Source organism: Homo sapiens, chromosome 11, assembly GCF_000001405.40.
Source record: "Homo sapiens chromosome 11, GRCh38.p14 Primary Assembly".
Taxonomy (NCBI): Eukaryota; Metazoa; Chordata; class Mammalia; order Primates; family Hominidae; genus Homo; species Homo sapiens.
Genome location: NC_000011.10, coordinates 119558686 through 119575984, shown reverse-complemented (window position 1 = coordinate 119575984; position 17299 = coordinate 119558686). Strand labels below are relative to the sequence as shown.

Here is a 17299-nt window from a genome sequence, read left to right as displayed (position 1 = left end):
AAGCAGAGCTTGGAATGATGCAGCTACAAACCACTGAACACCTAGAGCTGCCAGGAGCCGCCAGAACTAGGAAGAGGCAAGGAAGGAGTTCTTCCCCAGAGCCTTCCCAGGGAGCATGGTCTTGCTGACACTTTGATTTTGGACTCTGGCTTCCAGAGCTTTGAGAGAATAAATTTCTGTTGTTTTAAGCCACCCGGTTTGTGATTTGTTACGGCAGCCCTGGGGAGCTAATACAGTAGGTAATGATCATTACTATTTTTGAAGATGAGAAAACTCAGGCTAAAGAAGTTAAGTAACTTGCCCAAGGTCTTGTAGTTAATTTAACACCAGAGATGGGATTCAACCCCAGGCAGACTCCAGAGCTGTCTTTCTTTCTTAGTCATTAGATGACACATAGCAGGTGCATATAAATCCTATTTTTTCCCAGGTCATATTTTACTGTTCTTTGCATCCCTAGTGCTTAGCATGGTGTTTGCTATTTAGTAGGTGCCCTGTAACCATTTGGGAATTAAAGTCATTAGGAGCCCTACAGAGTAGGGCACTGAGAGGGCAAAGAAGAGAAAGATATAACCCTTGATCTCCAAAGGTTATAGTTTAGTAGGGGAGACAAGAAAGCCACCCCAAAAGATGGATTGTTGGGCTGAAGGCAGTTTAGAAGCAGATGCAGGAAAGCTCTCTACTCTGCCTCTATGTGCCCGAAAGCAGGACATCGATTTACAAAGACGAAAGATATCCCACTCCCTCTTCTACCTAAGAGAATGCAAGCTAACCATGGAGGACAACTTTAGACCCTTACCAGCCAGAAGATGGTACCACAGGAATCTATATTAACAAGCTTTACTAACTAACCTTTATCTGCCAGTTATTTGCCTACCCACAAGTTGCTGCCCCTGGAGAATCAAAGTCCTTTTTTTTTTTTTTTTTTTTGAGACAGAGTCTCACTCTGTCACCCAGCCTGGGGTGCAGTGGCACAATCTCTGCTCACTGCAACCTCCACCTCCCAGGTTGAAGTGGTTCTCCTGCCTCGGCCTCCCCAGTAGCTGGGACTACAGGCACATCGCCACCAGGCCCAGCTAGTTTTTGTATTTTTCGTAGAGACGGGGTTTCACCATGTTGGCTAGGCTGATCTCGAACTCCTGACCTCAAGTGATCCACCCACCTTGGCCTCCCAAAGTGCTGGGATTACAGGCGCAGCTGCACCTGACCATAAAAACTGACTGTTCTGGTCAGGTGCGGTGGTCACACCTGTAATCCCAGCACTTTGGGAGGCTGAGGTGGGCGGATCATGAGGTCAAGAGTTGGAGACCCAACATGGTGAAACCCTGTCTCTACTAAAAATACAAAAGCTAGCCAGGCGTGGTGGCGGGCACCTGTAGTCCCAGCTACTCGGGAGGCTGAGGCAGGAGATTCGCTTCAACCTGGGAGGTGGAGATTGCAGTGAGCTGAGATCGCACCACTGCACTCCAGCCTGGGCGACAGAGCAAGACTGTGTCTCAAAAACAAATAAACAAAACTGACTGTTCTTTGTTGAAGATGCTTATAAGCTGGAATTCAAAGCTGCCTCTTTGAGAACTACTCATTCTCTGGGTGTCTCCCATGTATATATGAAATATACAGGTGAATAAACTTTATTTTCTCTTGTTAATCTGTCCTCTGTTACAGGGGTCCATGCTAACAAAGAACCTATGAAGGTTGAAGACAAAATTATTTTTCTTCCCCTACACTAGAGAGGACATATAGAAGGAGTATATGCTCAGGGCTGACTGAGAAGCTTAAAAATCAGCCCTGGAGGAGCTCAAAGAAGGGATAGCACTAAGGGATAAGCCAAAAGGAGGCTTTGAGGAAGAGATTGAACTTGATTTGGGCCCTGAAGAACTTAGGAAAGAGGAAGGAAGTGGTGACAGTTGATAAAGCAGAAGAAGAGCATGAATAGGGCTGGGAGGAAGGACTTTGCAAGATGTATTTGAAGAGAGATGGGGGTGATGGGCTGGGAGGCATCAGCCAGGCCAGATCATAGTTATCGAGGACTAGGCAGGAACTTGGATATGAACTGGTAGCATGGTCCTATAGGCTTTTAGCAGACACAGCTACTACATTTGTTACTGCTACTAACAGAGGCTTGACTGCAGATACTCAATCTGTGTGTTCCCTGCATTTCCCAGGGCCTGCAGGTCACAGAGCTGTGCGCCTTGCTCTGACTAGCAGGCTATGGGTCTAAGTGTTACCTCCAGACTGAAGCATAGAAGAGTAGATATGAGGCCCTCATTCTCTCTTCACTCTTTGAGGCAAGCGTTGAGGTGGAGGCTTTATCAGATCGACAAGCTTGGATCCAGGGAGAGCTGTCCCAGAGAGGCATGGGAATTTCATGAGAACAAGAAACAAATGTGGCCGGGCATGGTGGCTCATGCCTGTAATCTCAGCACTTTGGGAGGCTGAGGTGGATGGATTGCTTGAGGCCAGGAGTTTGAGACCAGCCTAGTCAACATAGCAAGACCCATCTGTACAAAAAATAAATAGATTAGTCAGGTGTGGTGGCATGCACCTGTGGTCCCAAGCTACTCGTGGGGCTGAGGTAGGAGGATCGCTTGAGCCGGGGAAGTTGGGGTGAGGACGCTGGGGAGTGCTGGTGATTTCGGGTGTGTGGACAGGTGAAAAATCCTGAAGGGGGATCAGGAAGCTGTGGGAAAGGTGAGAGCAACAGAGCACCCACACTTCTCCTCCTCCGGGCCTCTCCGACAGCACTCAGGCCGCCCCTGCTGGTGGCAGCAAGAACTCCCAGGCAGTCTTCCCTTGTTCTCCCAAAATCAACAGCTGGAACCTCCTAAGGCTTTCCTAGATGCAACTTCTGTCTGTTAGCGCAGCAGCCCTGGGAAGCTACTCTTGTTGCCCAAGGCTCAGAGATTCAAGCCAGTTAGTCAACGCCAGCCAAGGGTGAATTGGCCAAAGACCCAGAGGGCTTCTGTCTCCCAGAGTAGGGGCTGGGCTCCCTCCCAGCTGTCAGCTCCCACTCACAGGTGCAGCCCCTTGTGGGGAGTCCCCAAAAGCTGGATATGGCCTGAGATGGCCAGAAGGCAAGGAGGGGATGGGGAGGGCTATGGTGCCTTCTGCTGAGATTTGCTACCAGGAAGCTCTGTTTTTTAGGAACAGGCCCTGCCTCCAAAGTTCTGAGACTATCAGAGAACTTATCTATCCCCTATCTCATCAGCAACCTCCAGCATTCCATCACACCAACACCATAAACTCTACATGTCTTGCCCCTTTGATACAAGGTGTGGCCCTATGACTAAGTTCTGGGCAATGAGGTATAAACAGAAGACTGTAGGTGAGACATCCGAGAAAGTTCCTTAAAAGGGAGATGAACAATTGGCATAGTCCCTTTGGCCTCACCTGCCTTCTCCTACTTCTTGCCTGAAACTCAGGCTTGATGGCTGGAGCTCCAGCAGACATCTTGGACAATGAGGTCTGGGAAAGCCACGTGTTAAGGAGGTTAAAACCGAAGCACATAAGAACGCCCCTGGAGCTGCCCTACTGGCCCTGAAATGCCCAACTCTAGGCTTCTGTGTGACAGGAGAAGCTCCTGATTGGAATACACATCTGCAGTCAAGTTGTTTTCAGCAGCAGCCAGACAGTCTTGAACACTGGGGTTATGGTGGTGGGCCCAGGCAAGAACAGCTGCTGCCCCAAGCTCCACTTCTTGAACAACGTAACAATGACAGTCAGAGGAGTGGCACCTGATGGCATTTCAAATTGGAAGCTAAATAATGCATTTTCAACAAACCGTGGGAGGATTTTTAAAATAATAATACAGATGTGGGAAATAATATTTGTTTTGGAGGTTTTTGTTTGTTTGTTTGTTTGTTTGTTTCGAGACAGAGTTTCGTTTCATTCTTGTTGCCCAGGCTGGAGTGCAGTGGTGCGATCTCAGCTCGCTACAACCTCCGCCTCCCAGGTTCAAGCAATTCTTCTGCCTCAGCCTCCTGGGTAGCTGGGATTACAGGCATCCACCACCACACCTGACTAATTTTTTTGTATTTTTAGTAGAGACGTGGTTTCACAATGTTGGCCAGGCTTGTCTCGAACTCCTGACTTCAGGTGATCCACCTGCCTCGTCCCCCCACAAAGTGCTAGGATTACAGGTGTGAGCCACCATGTCTGGCAGGGAAGTAATATTTAAGGTTTTTCATTGCATGATTGAGGAAGATCTTTCGGCACAAGCCCCGAAGTCATAAAATAAATGAGTAATCATTTTAACCTCATCAAAATAAATTTTTTTTCAAAAGTCTTTGTGGCAAAAATCAGTCTGGATAGGCTGGTTATACTGCAGCAAGAAAAAAAGCCAAAATCTGAGGGGTATAAAGCAACAAGTGGTTATTTCTGGCCCACAGTACACATCCTTTTGTGGATTGGCTGAGGCCTCCACTCCCATGTTGTCAGTATTGTCACTTTCACTTTAGGCTCCCAAGTTGAAGGCACAGCCATCATCTGCTGACGCCAATTCCCGAGTCAGAGAGAAAGAGGGTGAGCAAAGCACCAGCACTTCAAGCTTCAGCCCAAAGTGTCACACGTGCTTCTGCTTGCATTTAATTGACCAGAACAAGTCACACAGCTGCACCTTGGTTCACAAGGGCAGGGAATGTAATGCCTTTTCAGGGAGGGATCTGGGTATTCATGAACAGTAGTACACAAAAGCAAAAGACTCGACCCTTTGGGAGAAGTTTTAGATACTCATATTATAAACAAAGGGTTAATTTCTCTGATAAATAAGAATACTCCCAAATCATCAAGAAAATGATCATATCGATTGAAAAAGCAGGCAGAAGATATGAGCAGGCATTTTACAAAAAGGAAATAAAAGACGCTGTAACTCACTCATAATTTCACATTAAAATGACGTGGAGATATCATTTTCTACCCATCGAAGTGGTGAGGGCATGTGCAAACAGGTCACACATTGCTGATGGGCTGTAAATTTGTATAACCTCTATGGAAGGCAATTGGCATATGTGTCAAGATTTAAAGTTCACATACCTTTCTTTCTTTCTCTTTTTTTAATAGAGATGGGATCTCACCATGTTGACTAGGCTGGTCTTGAACTCCTAGGCTCAAACGATCCTCCCACTTTGGCCTCCCAAAGTGCTGGGATTACAGGCATGAGCCACCACCCCCCACCAAGTTCACGTACCTTTTGATACTGTTCTTCTACTTCTAGAAATACATCCTATGATGAGCTCACACATGTGGGAAATAATATTTGTTTAAGGTTTTTCATTGCATTATTGTTTATAATAACAAAAGATTGGAAACAAGGCCTTTTAATTAGGGACTGGTTAAATAAATCATTTAAATTAAATAAGCTATTTCTTTCCATTCAAGGGAATGCTACATAGATACAAAAATGAAAAGCTTCTTTTGTAATGATATGGAGCAATCTCTAAGATTTAATGTTAAACAAATAAAGTAAGGTACTGAACAGTGTATATTGTATCACTGTTTGTGATAGAAAAAGGAAGAAGAAATATTCATAATTGTTTATATATGCTAGAGATATCTCCAAAAATACACTTAAAGTGGGAAATATTGCTTGTGATTAAGGAGAGAATAGAAATTCTCCATTTGTACCTTTTAAATTGTGAGATAGCATGGGAATGTATTGTCTAACCTAACAGTAAAATTAAAAATTAAAAGAGGAGCAAAATGAACCAGCAGTTCCACTCCTAGGCATATAAAAAAGAGAAACCAAAACATACATCTGCACAGAAAGAAATTTGTACACAAATATTTATAGCAGCATTACTCTTAATAACCAAAAGGCGGACAAAACTGGGATGTCCATCAGCTGATTGATGGATAAATAAAATGTGGTATATCCATACAATGGATTATTATTCAGCCATAAAAATGAATGAAGTCATGCCTGTTATCCTGCACTTTGGGAGGGCAAGGCAGGAGGACTGCTTGAGTCCAGGAGTTTGAGACCAACCTGGGCCACATAGCCAGACCTTGCCTTTACCTAAAAAAAAAAAAATTTATATACATATATATATATATTTTTTTTTTAATAGCCAGCATGGTGGCACAGTGCCTGTGGTCCCAACTACTTAGAAGGCCAAGGCAGGAGGATCACTTTAGCCTAGGAGTTCGAGGCTATAGTGAGCCATGATCGTGCCATTGCACTCCAGCCTGGGCAACAGAGCAAGACCCTGTCTCACACACACACAAAAAAAAGGGAATGAAGTACTGATACATGCCACAATACGGATTAACCTTATGCTGAGGTTCCTTCATTCCTTCGTAACGAAAACATTAGGCTGAGTAAACAAGCTAGACACAAAAAGCCACATATTATACATATTCCATTTAAGTGAAATGTCCACAATAGGCAAACAAAAAGTAGACCAGTGGTTGCCTAGAGGGATGAGGTTGTGGGAGAAATGGAGAGTGATTGTTAATGAGTACTGTGTTTCTTTTAGGGGTGATAAATATGTTCTAAAATTGATGCAGTGATGGGTGCACAACTCTGTAAATATACTAAAAACCACTGAATTGCACACTTTATTTTTTTTTATATATAGAGATGGGGTTTCACTGTATTCCCCAGGCTGATCTTGAACTTCTGGACTCAAGCAATCCTCCCACTTCCACCTCCCAAAGTGCTGGGATTACAGGCATGAGCCATATGCCTGGCCAAATTGCACACTTTAAATGGGAATTATATGGTAGGTGAGTTATATCTAAAAAAAACTGTTTTTTAAAAAAGGGGGAGAGAGAGCAAAAGAGATGGCCCATATATATGATGCCACGGGACACTATGAATTCCTATGACCTAGTATCTCAATAGACTCCCCCCAACTCCGTCCTCAAGCTCTGTTGAAATCTTACAAAAAATTCAGCAGGGCAGCTGTCCTTGCCTGGGTTCCCCCACATAAAGAGCCTTTGGTTCAAGTAGCTTATTTTGGAAAGAGATTCTAGGGAAAAGCAATGGTTCCCTAGAATCCCAAGGGGGATTGGGAAGCATAAAACAGGGAAGCAGAAAGGCCAAGCTAAGTTTTCTTAACTGAGCTGGTCATCACTGTGGGTCACTGAGGCTCCATCCTGCTAGGGAACCTCTGAAGAACCATGCAAAATGCACCTGAGACAAGGAAGAGGCGGGCATGGCCTTGGTGTCAGAGAAACCCTGGGCGGATGGCAAGAGAGTGAGGTGTCTGGCCACATCTGCCATGGCGACTGGGGGAGCTATAGAAGGGAAGTGGTAGCTGAGCCCTGAGATTGAGGAGGGTGGTCTGATGCAGTGGTCTAAGCAAAGAGCTCTCCCTGCTGCATAATCCTCCAGACTTGACTCAGAGAGCCTCAACATCATTGCCAAAAATCAAACCCATCCTCGAATAACAAATACTTTCTGCCTTGATGAATTCTCAAGGGTATGTGCTCTAGGCCACTAAATGGACCAGATGTGATTTTTTTTTTTTTTTAAATAAGAGTCATTCTGAGAGAAGTCTGGCACATGGGCAATGATCAAGCTGCAGGATGCTGTTTTGGGTCAACAATGAGGAGTGATTGTAAAGCCAGGCGTCTGGTTATTGTAAACTGACTCTGATGGTCGTGCCCGAAGGGAATTAAAGAGACATGCTGAGTCATACTTGTGCTGGCTCACAAGCGGAGATTTTTCACAGGACAGCAGTCATGCAAATGTAGAGGACGATAATGAGGCAGAGTGGCCTCCAACCCATGTGGGAGAAAAGAGCGAATGCTCAAGCCTCCCCCATCCAGTCCCTGCTTGGGTGCATCCAGGGTTCCCCCAATGCTTCCTAGTGTCTTAGAGGAAACTTAGAGGTTGGCTCAGCCCCCTCACTGGGATGCCTAGCACAGACGATTTCTGGAAAATGGAGCCCCGTCTCCTCTTCATGCAACAGCCACAGGGGCCAGCAGTGGTATGCACTGAGTGACGTTATCCAGGGTGGCTGCCCACCCCCCACCCCCAATGCCATGATTGGTGGGAGGGAAAAGCTCCCCTTGTGAGTCAAGATGTCCCTGAAACTCAGGCCAGAGTCCATAGACAGAAGGTGCCTGGCCTAGGCCCCAGCTGATGCCACCACCTTATTGTGGAGCCCTTTCAGAAAAGGGAAATTCCCCAGCAAAATGCTCAGATCAGCAGAACCCTGGGGACCCACTAGGCCTAAGGCCAAAGAGCCAAAGCTGTCATCAGTGGCTCATTCTGCTCAGCTACCAGCCACTTCCTGGGTGCAAGCTGGCCCCAGCAGTACTAGGTCCCCCTTTACTTGCAAAACCTAGAATCAGCTTCTTCCCACCTAATTTTCAAAACCCCAAGGGGTGGGGAACAGGTGCTTAATCTCCTAAATTCTCAAAAATGCCGAGTGCGGTGGCTCACACCTATAATCCCAACACTTTGGAAGCCTGAGGCGAGTGGATCACCTGAGGTCAGGAGTTCAAGACCAGCCTGGCCAATATGGTGAAACCTCATCTCTATACGAAAAATACAAAAATTAGCCGGGCGTGGTGGCACACGCCTGTAGTCCCAGCTACTCAGGAGGCTGAGGCAAGAGGATCACTTGAACCCAGGAGGTGGAGGTTGCAGTGAGCCAAGATTGTGCATTGAACTCCAGCCCGGGCGATAGAGTGAGACTCTGTCTCAAACACACACACACACACACACACACACACACACACACACACACACACACAAAATCTCAAAAATCAAGAGTCTGGTTCACTTCTTTTCTGGACATTTAGGCTAGTCCATCCCTCTGGAAAGGCCCCACCACAATGCTCATGGCTTTTACTTTAAGAGCACTTTCTATGTGTTAAGTGCCTCACATGGAGTTTCATTGAGTCCTTTGAGTGGCCCAATGAGGTGAGTACTTTCCATTTTACTGATGAGGAAACAGCTTCCAAGAGGTTAGGAAACTTGCCTGAGCTCACACAATTAGTAAGTTGAGATGCTTGCTAATACCCTGTACATAGATAGCACTTCATGTTTTTCCAACATCTTTCATTGCCTTAGGTCATTGTCTTAGTCCATTTTGTGCTGCTGTACCAGAACACCTGAGACTGGGTACTTTATAATGAGCAGAAATTTATTGGCTCATGGTTCTAGAGGCTGAAAAGTCCAAGATGAAGGGGCTGGCATCTACCAAGAGCCTTCTTGCTGCATCTTCCCATCGTGTAAGAGCAAAGAGAGAGCAAGAGACCAAACTTGCAGCCTCAAGCCCTTTTATAATAATCATTAACCCTTTCATGAGGGTGGTGCCCTCATGACCCAAACACCTCTCATTGGCCCCACCTCTCAACACTGTTACACTGGAGATTAAGTTATAACACCTGCGTTTTGGGGAACACATTCAAACCATTCAGCCATTTAACCTTCACCACAATTCCATGAGATAACATATCATGGTAATTATTATACCCATGTTAAATATTGTAACAATGAGAGCATTAATGACCTGCACAGTCACCCAGCCAGGTGATAAGGGTTGATGACAGAGCAAGAGCTCCAGCCCTAGCCTGTCTGACTCCGGCATGTGGGCCTTGCTTCACTTTGTATCCTGACACCACCCAGTGTTGCTAAAATTGGCTCCTGTATTGGATTGAATAGTGCCCCTAAAAAGCTATGCCCAAATCCTAACCCCTGGTACTTGTGAATGTGATTCTGTTTGGAAATAGGTTTGAGATGAGGTTAAGGGAAACCAAAATATTTCACCCCAAAATATACTTCTTTTTTTAACTTTTATTTTAAGTTCACAGGTACATGTGCAGGTTTGTTATATAGGTCAACTTGTGTTAAAAGGGTTTGTTGCACAAATTATTTCATCACCCTGGTATTCAGCTTAGGACCCATTAGTTATTTTTCCTGATCCTCTCTTTTCTCCCATCCTCCACCCTCCAATGAGCCCTAGTGTCTCTTGTTATGCTCTTTCTGTCCCTGTGTTCTCATCACTTAGCTCTCACTTATAAGTGAAAGGATGTGATGTTTAGTTTTCTTTTCCTGCATTAGTTTGCTAAGGATAATGGCCTCCAGCTCCATCCATGTTCCTGCAAAGGACATGATCTCATTCTTTTTTATGGCTGCATAGTATTCCATGGTGTATATGTACCACATTTTCTTTATCCAGTCTACCACTGATGGACATTTAGGTTGATTCCATCTCTTTGCTATTGTGAATAGTGCTGTAATGAATATATATGTTCATGTGTTTTTATGAAAGAACAATAAATATTCCTTTGCATATATACCCAGTAATGGGATTGCTGGGTTGAATGGTATTTCTTTGAGGAATCCCCACACTGTTTTCCACAATGGCTGAACTAATTTACACTCCCACTAACAGTGTATAAGTGTTCCTTTTTCTTTGCAAACTTGTCCATAGCTGTTTTGTTTGTTTTTGTTTCTTTTTTACTTTGTAATAGCAGCCATTCTGACTGGTGTTAGATGGTATCTCATTGTGATTTGTTTACATTTCTCTAATGATCAGTGATGTCTAGCTTTTTTTCATGTGCTTGTTGGCCGCATGTATGTCTTGTCTGTTCATGTCATTTGCCACTTTTTAATGGGGTTGTTTTTTTCTTCTTGTAAATTTAAGTTCCTTATAGATGCTGGATATTAGACCTTTGTCAAATGCATAGTTTGCAAATATTTTATCCCATTCTGTAGGTTGTTTGTTTACTCTGTTGATAATTTATTTTGCTGTGCAGAAGCTCTTTAGTTTAGTTAGATCCTATTTGTCAACTTTTGCTTTTGATGCAATTGCTTTTGGAAACTTCATCATGAAATTTTTGCCCATTCCTATATAGAGAATGATATTGCCTAGATTTACACTTAAATGTAAAACCCAAAACTATAACATTTAAATCTTTAATCCATCTTGACTTGATTTCTGTATATGATGTAAGGAATGGGTCCAGTTTCAATCTTCTGCATATGGCTAGCCAGTTATTCCAGCACCATTTATTAAATAGGGAATCCTTTCCCCATTTCTTGTTGCTGTTGGCTTGGCTGAAGATTAGATGGTTGCAGGTGCACAGCCTTATTTCTGGGCTTTCTATTCTGTTCCATTGGTTTATGTGTCTGTTTTTATCCCAGTACCATGCTGTTTTGGTTACTGTAGCCCTGTAGTATAGTTTGAAGTCAGGTAGTGTGATGCCAGCTTTGTTCCTTTTGCTTAGGATTCTCTTGGCTATTCGGCCTCTTTTTTGGTTCCATATGAATTTTAAAATAGTTTTTTTCTAGTTCTGTGAAGAATGTTATTGGTAGTTTGATAGGAATAGCATTTAACCTATAAATTGCTTTGGGCAGTATGTCCATTTTAACAATATTGATTCTTCCTCTCCATGAGCATGGAGTGTTTTTCCATTTGTTTGTGTCATCTCTGATTTCTTTGAGCAGTGGTTTGTAGTTCTCCTTGTAGAGATCTTTCACCTCCCTGGTTAGCTGTATTCCTAGGTATTTTATTCTTTTTGTGGCAATTGTGAATGGGATCATGTACCTGATTGGCTCTCATCTTGACTGTTTTTGGTGTATAGGAATGTTAGTGATTTTTGTACATTGATGTTGTATCCTGAGACTTTGCTGAAATTGTTTATCAATGTAAGGAGCTTTTGGGTCAAGACTATGGGATTTTCTAGATATAGGGTAATGTCATCTGCAAACAAGGATAATTTGACTTTCTCTCTTCCTATTTGGGTGCCCTTTATTTATTTCTCTTGCCTGATTGTTCTGGCCAGGGCTTCCAATACTATGTTTAGTAGGAGTGATAAGAGAGGGCATCATTGTTTTGTGCCATTTTTCAAGGGGAGTGGTTCCAGCATTTGCCCATTCAGTATGATGTTAGCTGTGGGTTTGTCATAGATGGCTCTTATTTTCAGGTATTGTTCCTCCAATACTTAGTTTATTGAGAGTTTTTAACATGAAGTGGTGTTGAATTTTATCTGAAGTCTTTTCTGCATCAATTAAGATAATCACATGGTTTCTTCTTTAGTTCAATTTATGTGATGAATCACAGTTATTAATTTGTGTATGTTGAACCAACCTTGCATCCCAGGAACAAAGCTTACTTGATCATGGTGGATAAACTTTTTGATGTGCTGCTGGATTTGTTTTGCCAGTATTTTGTTGAGGATTTTTGCATCAATGTTCATCAAGTATATTGGCCTGAAGTTTTCTTTTATTGTTGTGTCTCTACCAGGTTTTGGTATCGGGATGATGCTAGCTTCATAGAATGAGTCAAGGAGGAGTTCCTCCTCCTCAATTTTTTGGAATAGTTTCAGTAGAATGGTGCCAGCTCTTCTTTATACATCTGGTAGAATTCAACTGTGAATCTGTCTGGTCCTAGGCTTTTTTATTTTTGGTTGGTAGGCTATTTATTACTGATTCAGTTTTGGAGCTCATTAATTGCCTGCTCAGGGGTTCAATTTCTTCCTGGTTCAGTCTTGGGAGGGTGTTTATGTGTCCAGGAATTTATCCATTTCTTCTAGATTTTCTAGTTTGTATGCATAGAGGTGTTCATGTTATTCTCTGATAATCATTTCATTTTCTGTGGGGTCAGTGGTAATATCCCATTTGTTATTTCTAATTGTGTTTATTTAGACCTTCTCTCTTTTCTTCTTTATTGGTCCAGCTAGTGGTCTATCTAGTTTTATTACTTTTTTTAAATAACCAACTCCTAGGTTTATTAATCTTTTGGATGGTTTTTCGTGTCTCAATCTCCTTCAGTTCAGCTCTGATTTGGGTTATTTCTTGTCTTCTGCTAGCTTTGGTGTTGGTTTTCCCTTGGTTCTCTAGTTCTTTTAGTTGTGATGTTAGATTGTTAAATTGAGATCTTTCTAACTTTTTGGTGTGGGCATTTAATGCTATAAATTTCCCTCTTAACACTGCCTTAGCTGTGTCCCAGAGATTCTAGTATGTTTTATCTTTGTTCTTATTAGCTTCAAATAATTTCTCAATTTCTGCCTTCATTTCGTTATTTACCCAAAAGTCATTCAGGAGCATATTATTCAATTGTCATATTATTGTATGGTTTTGAACAATTTTCTTAGAATTGATCTCTAATTTTATTGCACTGTGGTCTGTGAGAGTGGTTGTTATGATTTCAGTTCTTTTGCATTTACTGAAGAGTGTATTGTGTGTGATTGTGTGGTTAATTTTAGCATATATGCTATGTGGTGATGAGAAGAATGTATATTCTGTTGTTTTGGACTGGAGAGTTTTATAGATGTCTTTCAGGTCTATTTGATCCAGTGCTGAGTTCAGGTTCTGAATATCTTTGTTAATTTTCTGCCTTGATGATTTGTCTAATACTGTCAGTGGGGTGTTGAAGTCTTCCACTATTATTGTGTGAAAGTCTAAGTCTCTTTGAAGGTCTCTAAGAACATGCTTTATGAATCTGGGTGCTCCTGTGTTGGGTGCACATATATTTAGGATAGTTAGGTCTTCTTATTGAATTGAACCCTTTACAATTATGTAATGCCTTTCTTTGTATTTTTTTATCTTTGTTGGCTTAAAGTCTGTTTTGTCTAAAATTAGGATTGCAACCCCTGTTTTTTCCTGTTTTTCATTTGCTTGGTAGACTTTTCTCCATCCCTTTATTTTGAGCCTATTGCTGTCATCAAATGTGAGATGGGTCTCTTGAAGACAGCATACTAATCAGTCTTGGTTCTTTATCCAATTTGCCACTCTGTGCCTTTTAATTGGGGCATTTAGTCTGTTTACATTCAAGGTTAGTATTGATATGTGTGGATTAGATCCTGTCATCATGATGTTAGCTGGTTATTATGTAGACTTGTTTGCGTGGTCACATTATAGTGTCACTGGTCTGTGTACTTAAATGTGTTTTTGTAGAAGCTAGTAACGGTCTTTCCGTATTTAGTGATTCCTTGAGGAGCTCCTGTAAAGCAGGTCTGGTGGTAATGAATTCTCTCAGCATTTGTTTGTCTGAAAAGAATCTTATTTCTCCTTTCCTTATTAGGTTAGTTTGGCCAGATATGAAGTTTTGAGTTGGACTTTCTGTTTTTTAAGAATGTTGAGGCTGGGCATGGTGGCTCACACCTGTAATCCCAGCACCTTGGGAGGTCGAGGTGGGCAGATCACTTGAGCTCAGGAGTTCAAGACCAGCCTGGGCAACATGGCAAAACCCTGCCTCTACAAAAAGTACAAAAAATTAACTGGGCATGATGGTGTGTGCCTGTAATTCCAGCTACTCAGAAGCCTGATGTGGGAGGATGCCTTGAGCCCAGGAGTTTGAAGCTACAGTGATCCACTGACTCTGTTGAAATGAGAAAGAAGAAAGAGAAAGAAAGAAAGAAAGAAAGAAAGAAAGAAAGAAAGAAAGAAAGAAAGAAAGAAAGAAAGAAAGAGAAAGAAAGAAAGAAAGAAGGAAAGAAAAGGGAGGGGAGGGGAGGGGAAGGAAAAAGAGGAAGGGAGGAAGGGAGGGAGGGAGGGAGGATGGAAGGAAGGAAGGAAGTTAGGAAGGAAAGAAGGAAGAAAGGAAGGAAGAGAGGGAAAGAGAGAGAGAAAGAATGAGCTTCAAAGAAAAGCTGTAGTTGTTTTGGACTGTGCCCTCAGACTCCCCCACTGCAATGATCACCTTTGGGGTATTCATATTCACCCCCATGTGGGGGAAGGGTTCCCAAGAAGGAAAATTTGAAGGTGATTTCCCAGATTCAAGAGCTCAGCTGTTGGAACCTGCTGGGCCTCCCGGACATCTCCTCAGCTGCAAAGGCTCTTGAGTGTCCTGAGGTAGGTGGGGCTGGCTGGGGACTGCACAGAGGAAGAGCTCACCTGCCCTCCAGGCCCTGAGCCCCAGCCCCGCAGACCCACTAGCCTTCTGCGTCTGGTCTTCCGGTTTGTGTCAAAGGGCCACAGGTCCCAGCCATATTTGGCCCAAGTGCCAGCAGGACACTCTCCTTCAAATGTCACCAGGACTTCTTCCCAGGTGTAGTGGGAAAGAAAAGCTTTCCCTTCACCTTTGGAAGGTTCACTAAAAGATCAGCTCACAAAAGGCAGATTAATTGGAGAAAAGACATACAATGTTATTTGATCATAGTTTTATGTGACACAAGAGCCTTCAGAATGAAGACCCAGCCCCACGATGGGGTGCAGAAGCTTATCTACTGCCTTGAGGACGAGGGAAGGCTGGGCTGCATCAATGCAGATTCTCTGCAGATGCAAATCTCTCCCCAAAAGACAGCTTTGCAGATCCACTTCTGTTTGCTGGCCCTCTGACACCCAACTCGAAATATGTCTAAGAAAAATATCTTGATTTCTTTTCCAGGAGAGGGAGTGGGAAATTAGGGGAGGGCAGGGGCCAGGCTAGAAGAGGAGCTGTTCTTTCCTAGGATGAGGGATAGGGAGAGGAACTTCCCCAAGGTCCTCTGAATTAGGGGAAGCAAGGGAAGTCCCGTCCCCAACATGGGTGTCCCCAAGTTTCTGCCAGGGGGATATGCCTCAGCCTTTGCTAGCTCTGAGCCCCGTCCTGGCCTGCCCCAGGGCTCAGGGCAAGACCCAGGGCAGGTGCAGTGGTGACGGCCACAGGTCTCCCTCCTCGAGGGCCCACTCCAGCTGCTCCTCTCACCAGGCCTGTGTTGCAGGGAGGCCGCTCTGAAATGGTGCTGGGTTCTGAAGTTAATAAATGTTGACATTTAGCAAGTGGGAGCTGTAGGGGTGTTTTATTGGTGTTAACGTGATGTTTGCAGGATTAGCGACTCCCCAAATTGTTCTCTGGAATAGAGCAAGTGAAGGCAGAATGGATCTCCTCTCCCCCACCACTCAACTTAGGATTTGATTAAAAGCTCCTTCCCACTGGTAGAGACAGGATTGAATTAGTGGGCTCTTTTCCTGTGCCTGAGGTCTAGGAAGGGAGGCCTCAGGAAGGGGATGCTTGTTCTCTCTGCCCTGCTTCCTTGGCATCCCTTCCTGGGAGCCATGGGTGCCCAAGCATGATACCCCAAACTTCTGTCTGTACACCCTCGCCTCCCTCACACCTGAGTTCCAGAAGCTTCTTCAGAGAGGAAGGGTCTCAGGAGGCCTGGCTGGCTTACATTTCTCTGGCCTGACCACAAAGAAAGAACCCTGTGGAGACATGTGGGGGCTGCAGGAGCAGCAAGGGGCCTGTGAGGTTGTCCAGCTCTTGGCAACTCAAGGTTAGCAACTTGAGGGCTCTAAGCAGGCCCCAGGAAACTCAGCCACTCTCATGGGGCTTGCAGTTTTGGTGATGCTCTCCCTCATATTTAAAGACTTTCCAGCCAGGCCCTCCCCATGCCCCAGCCTGTCCCTTTCTGGTCAGGACAGCACCTCCTCAGACCCTGGCTTACCCCTTGGTGCTGCCCTTGTGTCTAGCTGTGTTCTCCCATTTGGGCTCACCAGGTGCCCAGGCTTATCCTTGGGCCCCTGGCTGAGTCTCCTCTGAGCATCACCCTCCGTCACCTCCATGCTGGGTCCTCTAGGGAGGACCATCCACAGCCTTTCCTGAAGGCCAAGCTCTAGGCCTGCTCAGGTCTGCCATGAGGAGCCCCATCCCCACCTTGGAGGGATGTCTGTGTGTGTGTGTGTGTGTGTGTGTGTGTGTGTGTGTGTGTGTGTGTGTGAATGTAGCCACAGGTGCGTGCACACGCATGATGATGCACGTACTTCAACATATGTATCAGCTCTCAGCTTTCTAGATACTGGAGACCAGTCCCAAGAGGGTCCAGAACCCAGTCCTGCTGTGCCTCAGTGCAGCCTGTGTCATGCCTCTGATGGCTACCAGGAAGGGAGCAGTGACCCTCACCTGGCATTGAGCTCTGGGCTTTACATGCACCATTCTATTTAATGCTTGTAACAAGCTGATATAGTTTGGCTCTGTGTCCCCACCCAAATATCACCCTGAATTGTAATAATCCCCACCTGTCAAGGGTGGGGCCAGCTGGAGATAACTGAATCATGGGGGTAGTTTCCCCCATACTGTTCTCGTGATAGTGGATAAGTTTTATGAGACCTGATGGTTTTATAAATGGGAGTTCCTCTGCACAAGCTCTGTTGCCTGACACCATGTAAGACGTGCCTTTGCTTCTTCTTTGCCTTCCACCATGATCGTGAGGCCTCCCCAGGCCATGTGGAACCGTGAGTCCATTAAACCTCTTTTCTTAATAAATCACCCAGTCTTGGGTATGTCATTATTAGCAGCATGAGAACAGACTAATACACAACCCAATGAGAAAGCTACTGCAAGTACTCCCATTTCACAGCTAAGAAACAGAGGATCCACCCAAGGTAGCAGAAAGCAACTGGCCAACTTGGGGGTTGCCCTGG

The 17299-nt window shown here is 44.3% G+C and overlaps 3 annotated features.

The window, feature by feature from the left end:
- Window positions 7817-7966: an enhancer, noted in NCBI's record as "active region_5631". NCBI's record gives its function as "activates an Ori minimal core promoter by ATAC-STARR-seq in GM12878 lymphoblastoid cells {active_cell/tissue: GM12878}" and the evidence as "EXISTENCE:reporter gene assay evidence [ECO:0000049][PMID:35858748]".
- Window positions 15039-15539: an enhancer, noted in NCBI's record as "H3K4me1 hESC enhancer chr11:119431157-119431657 (GRCh37/hg19 assembly coordinates)". NCBI's record gives its function as "activates a minimal SCP1, AML or CMV promoter by ChIP-STARR-seq in naive H9 embryonic stem cells {active_cell/tissue: H9 hESC(naive)}" and the evidence as "EXISTENCE:reporter gene assay evidence [ECO:0000049][PMID:30033119]".
- Window positions 15540-16040: an enhancer, noted in NCBI's record as "H3K4me1 hESC enhancer chr11:119430656-119431156 (GRCh37/hg19 assembly coordinates)". NCBI's record gives its function as "activates a minimal SCP1, AML or CMV promoter by ChIP-STARR-seq in naive H9 embryonic stem cells {active_cell/tissue: H9 hESC(naive)}" and the evidence as "EXISTENCE:reporter gene assay evidence [ECO:0000049][PMID:30033119]".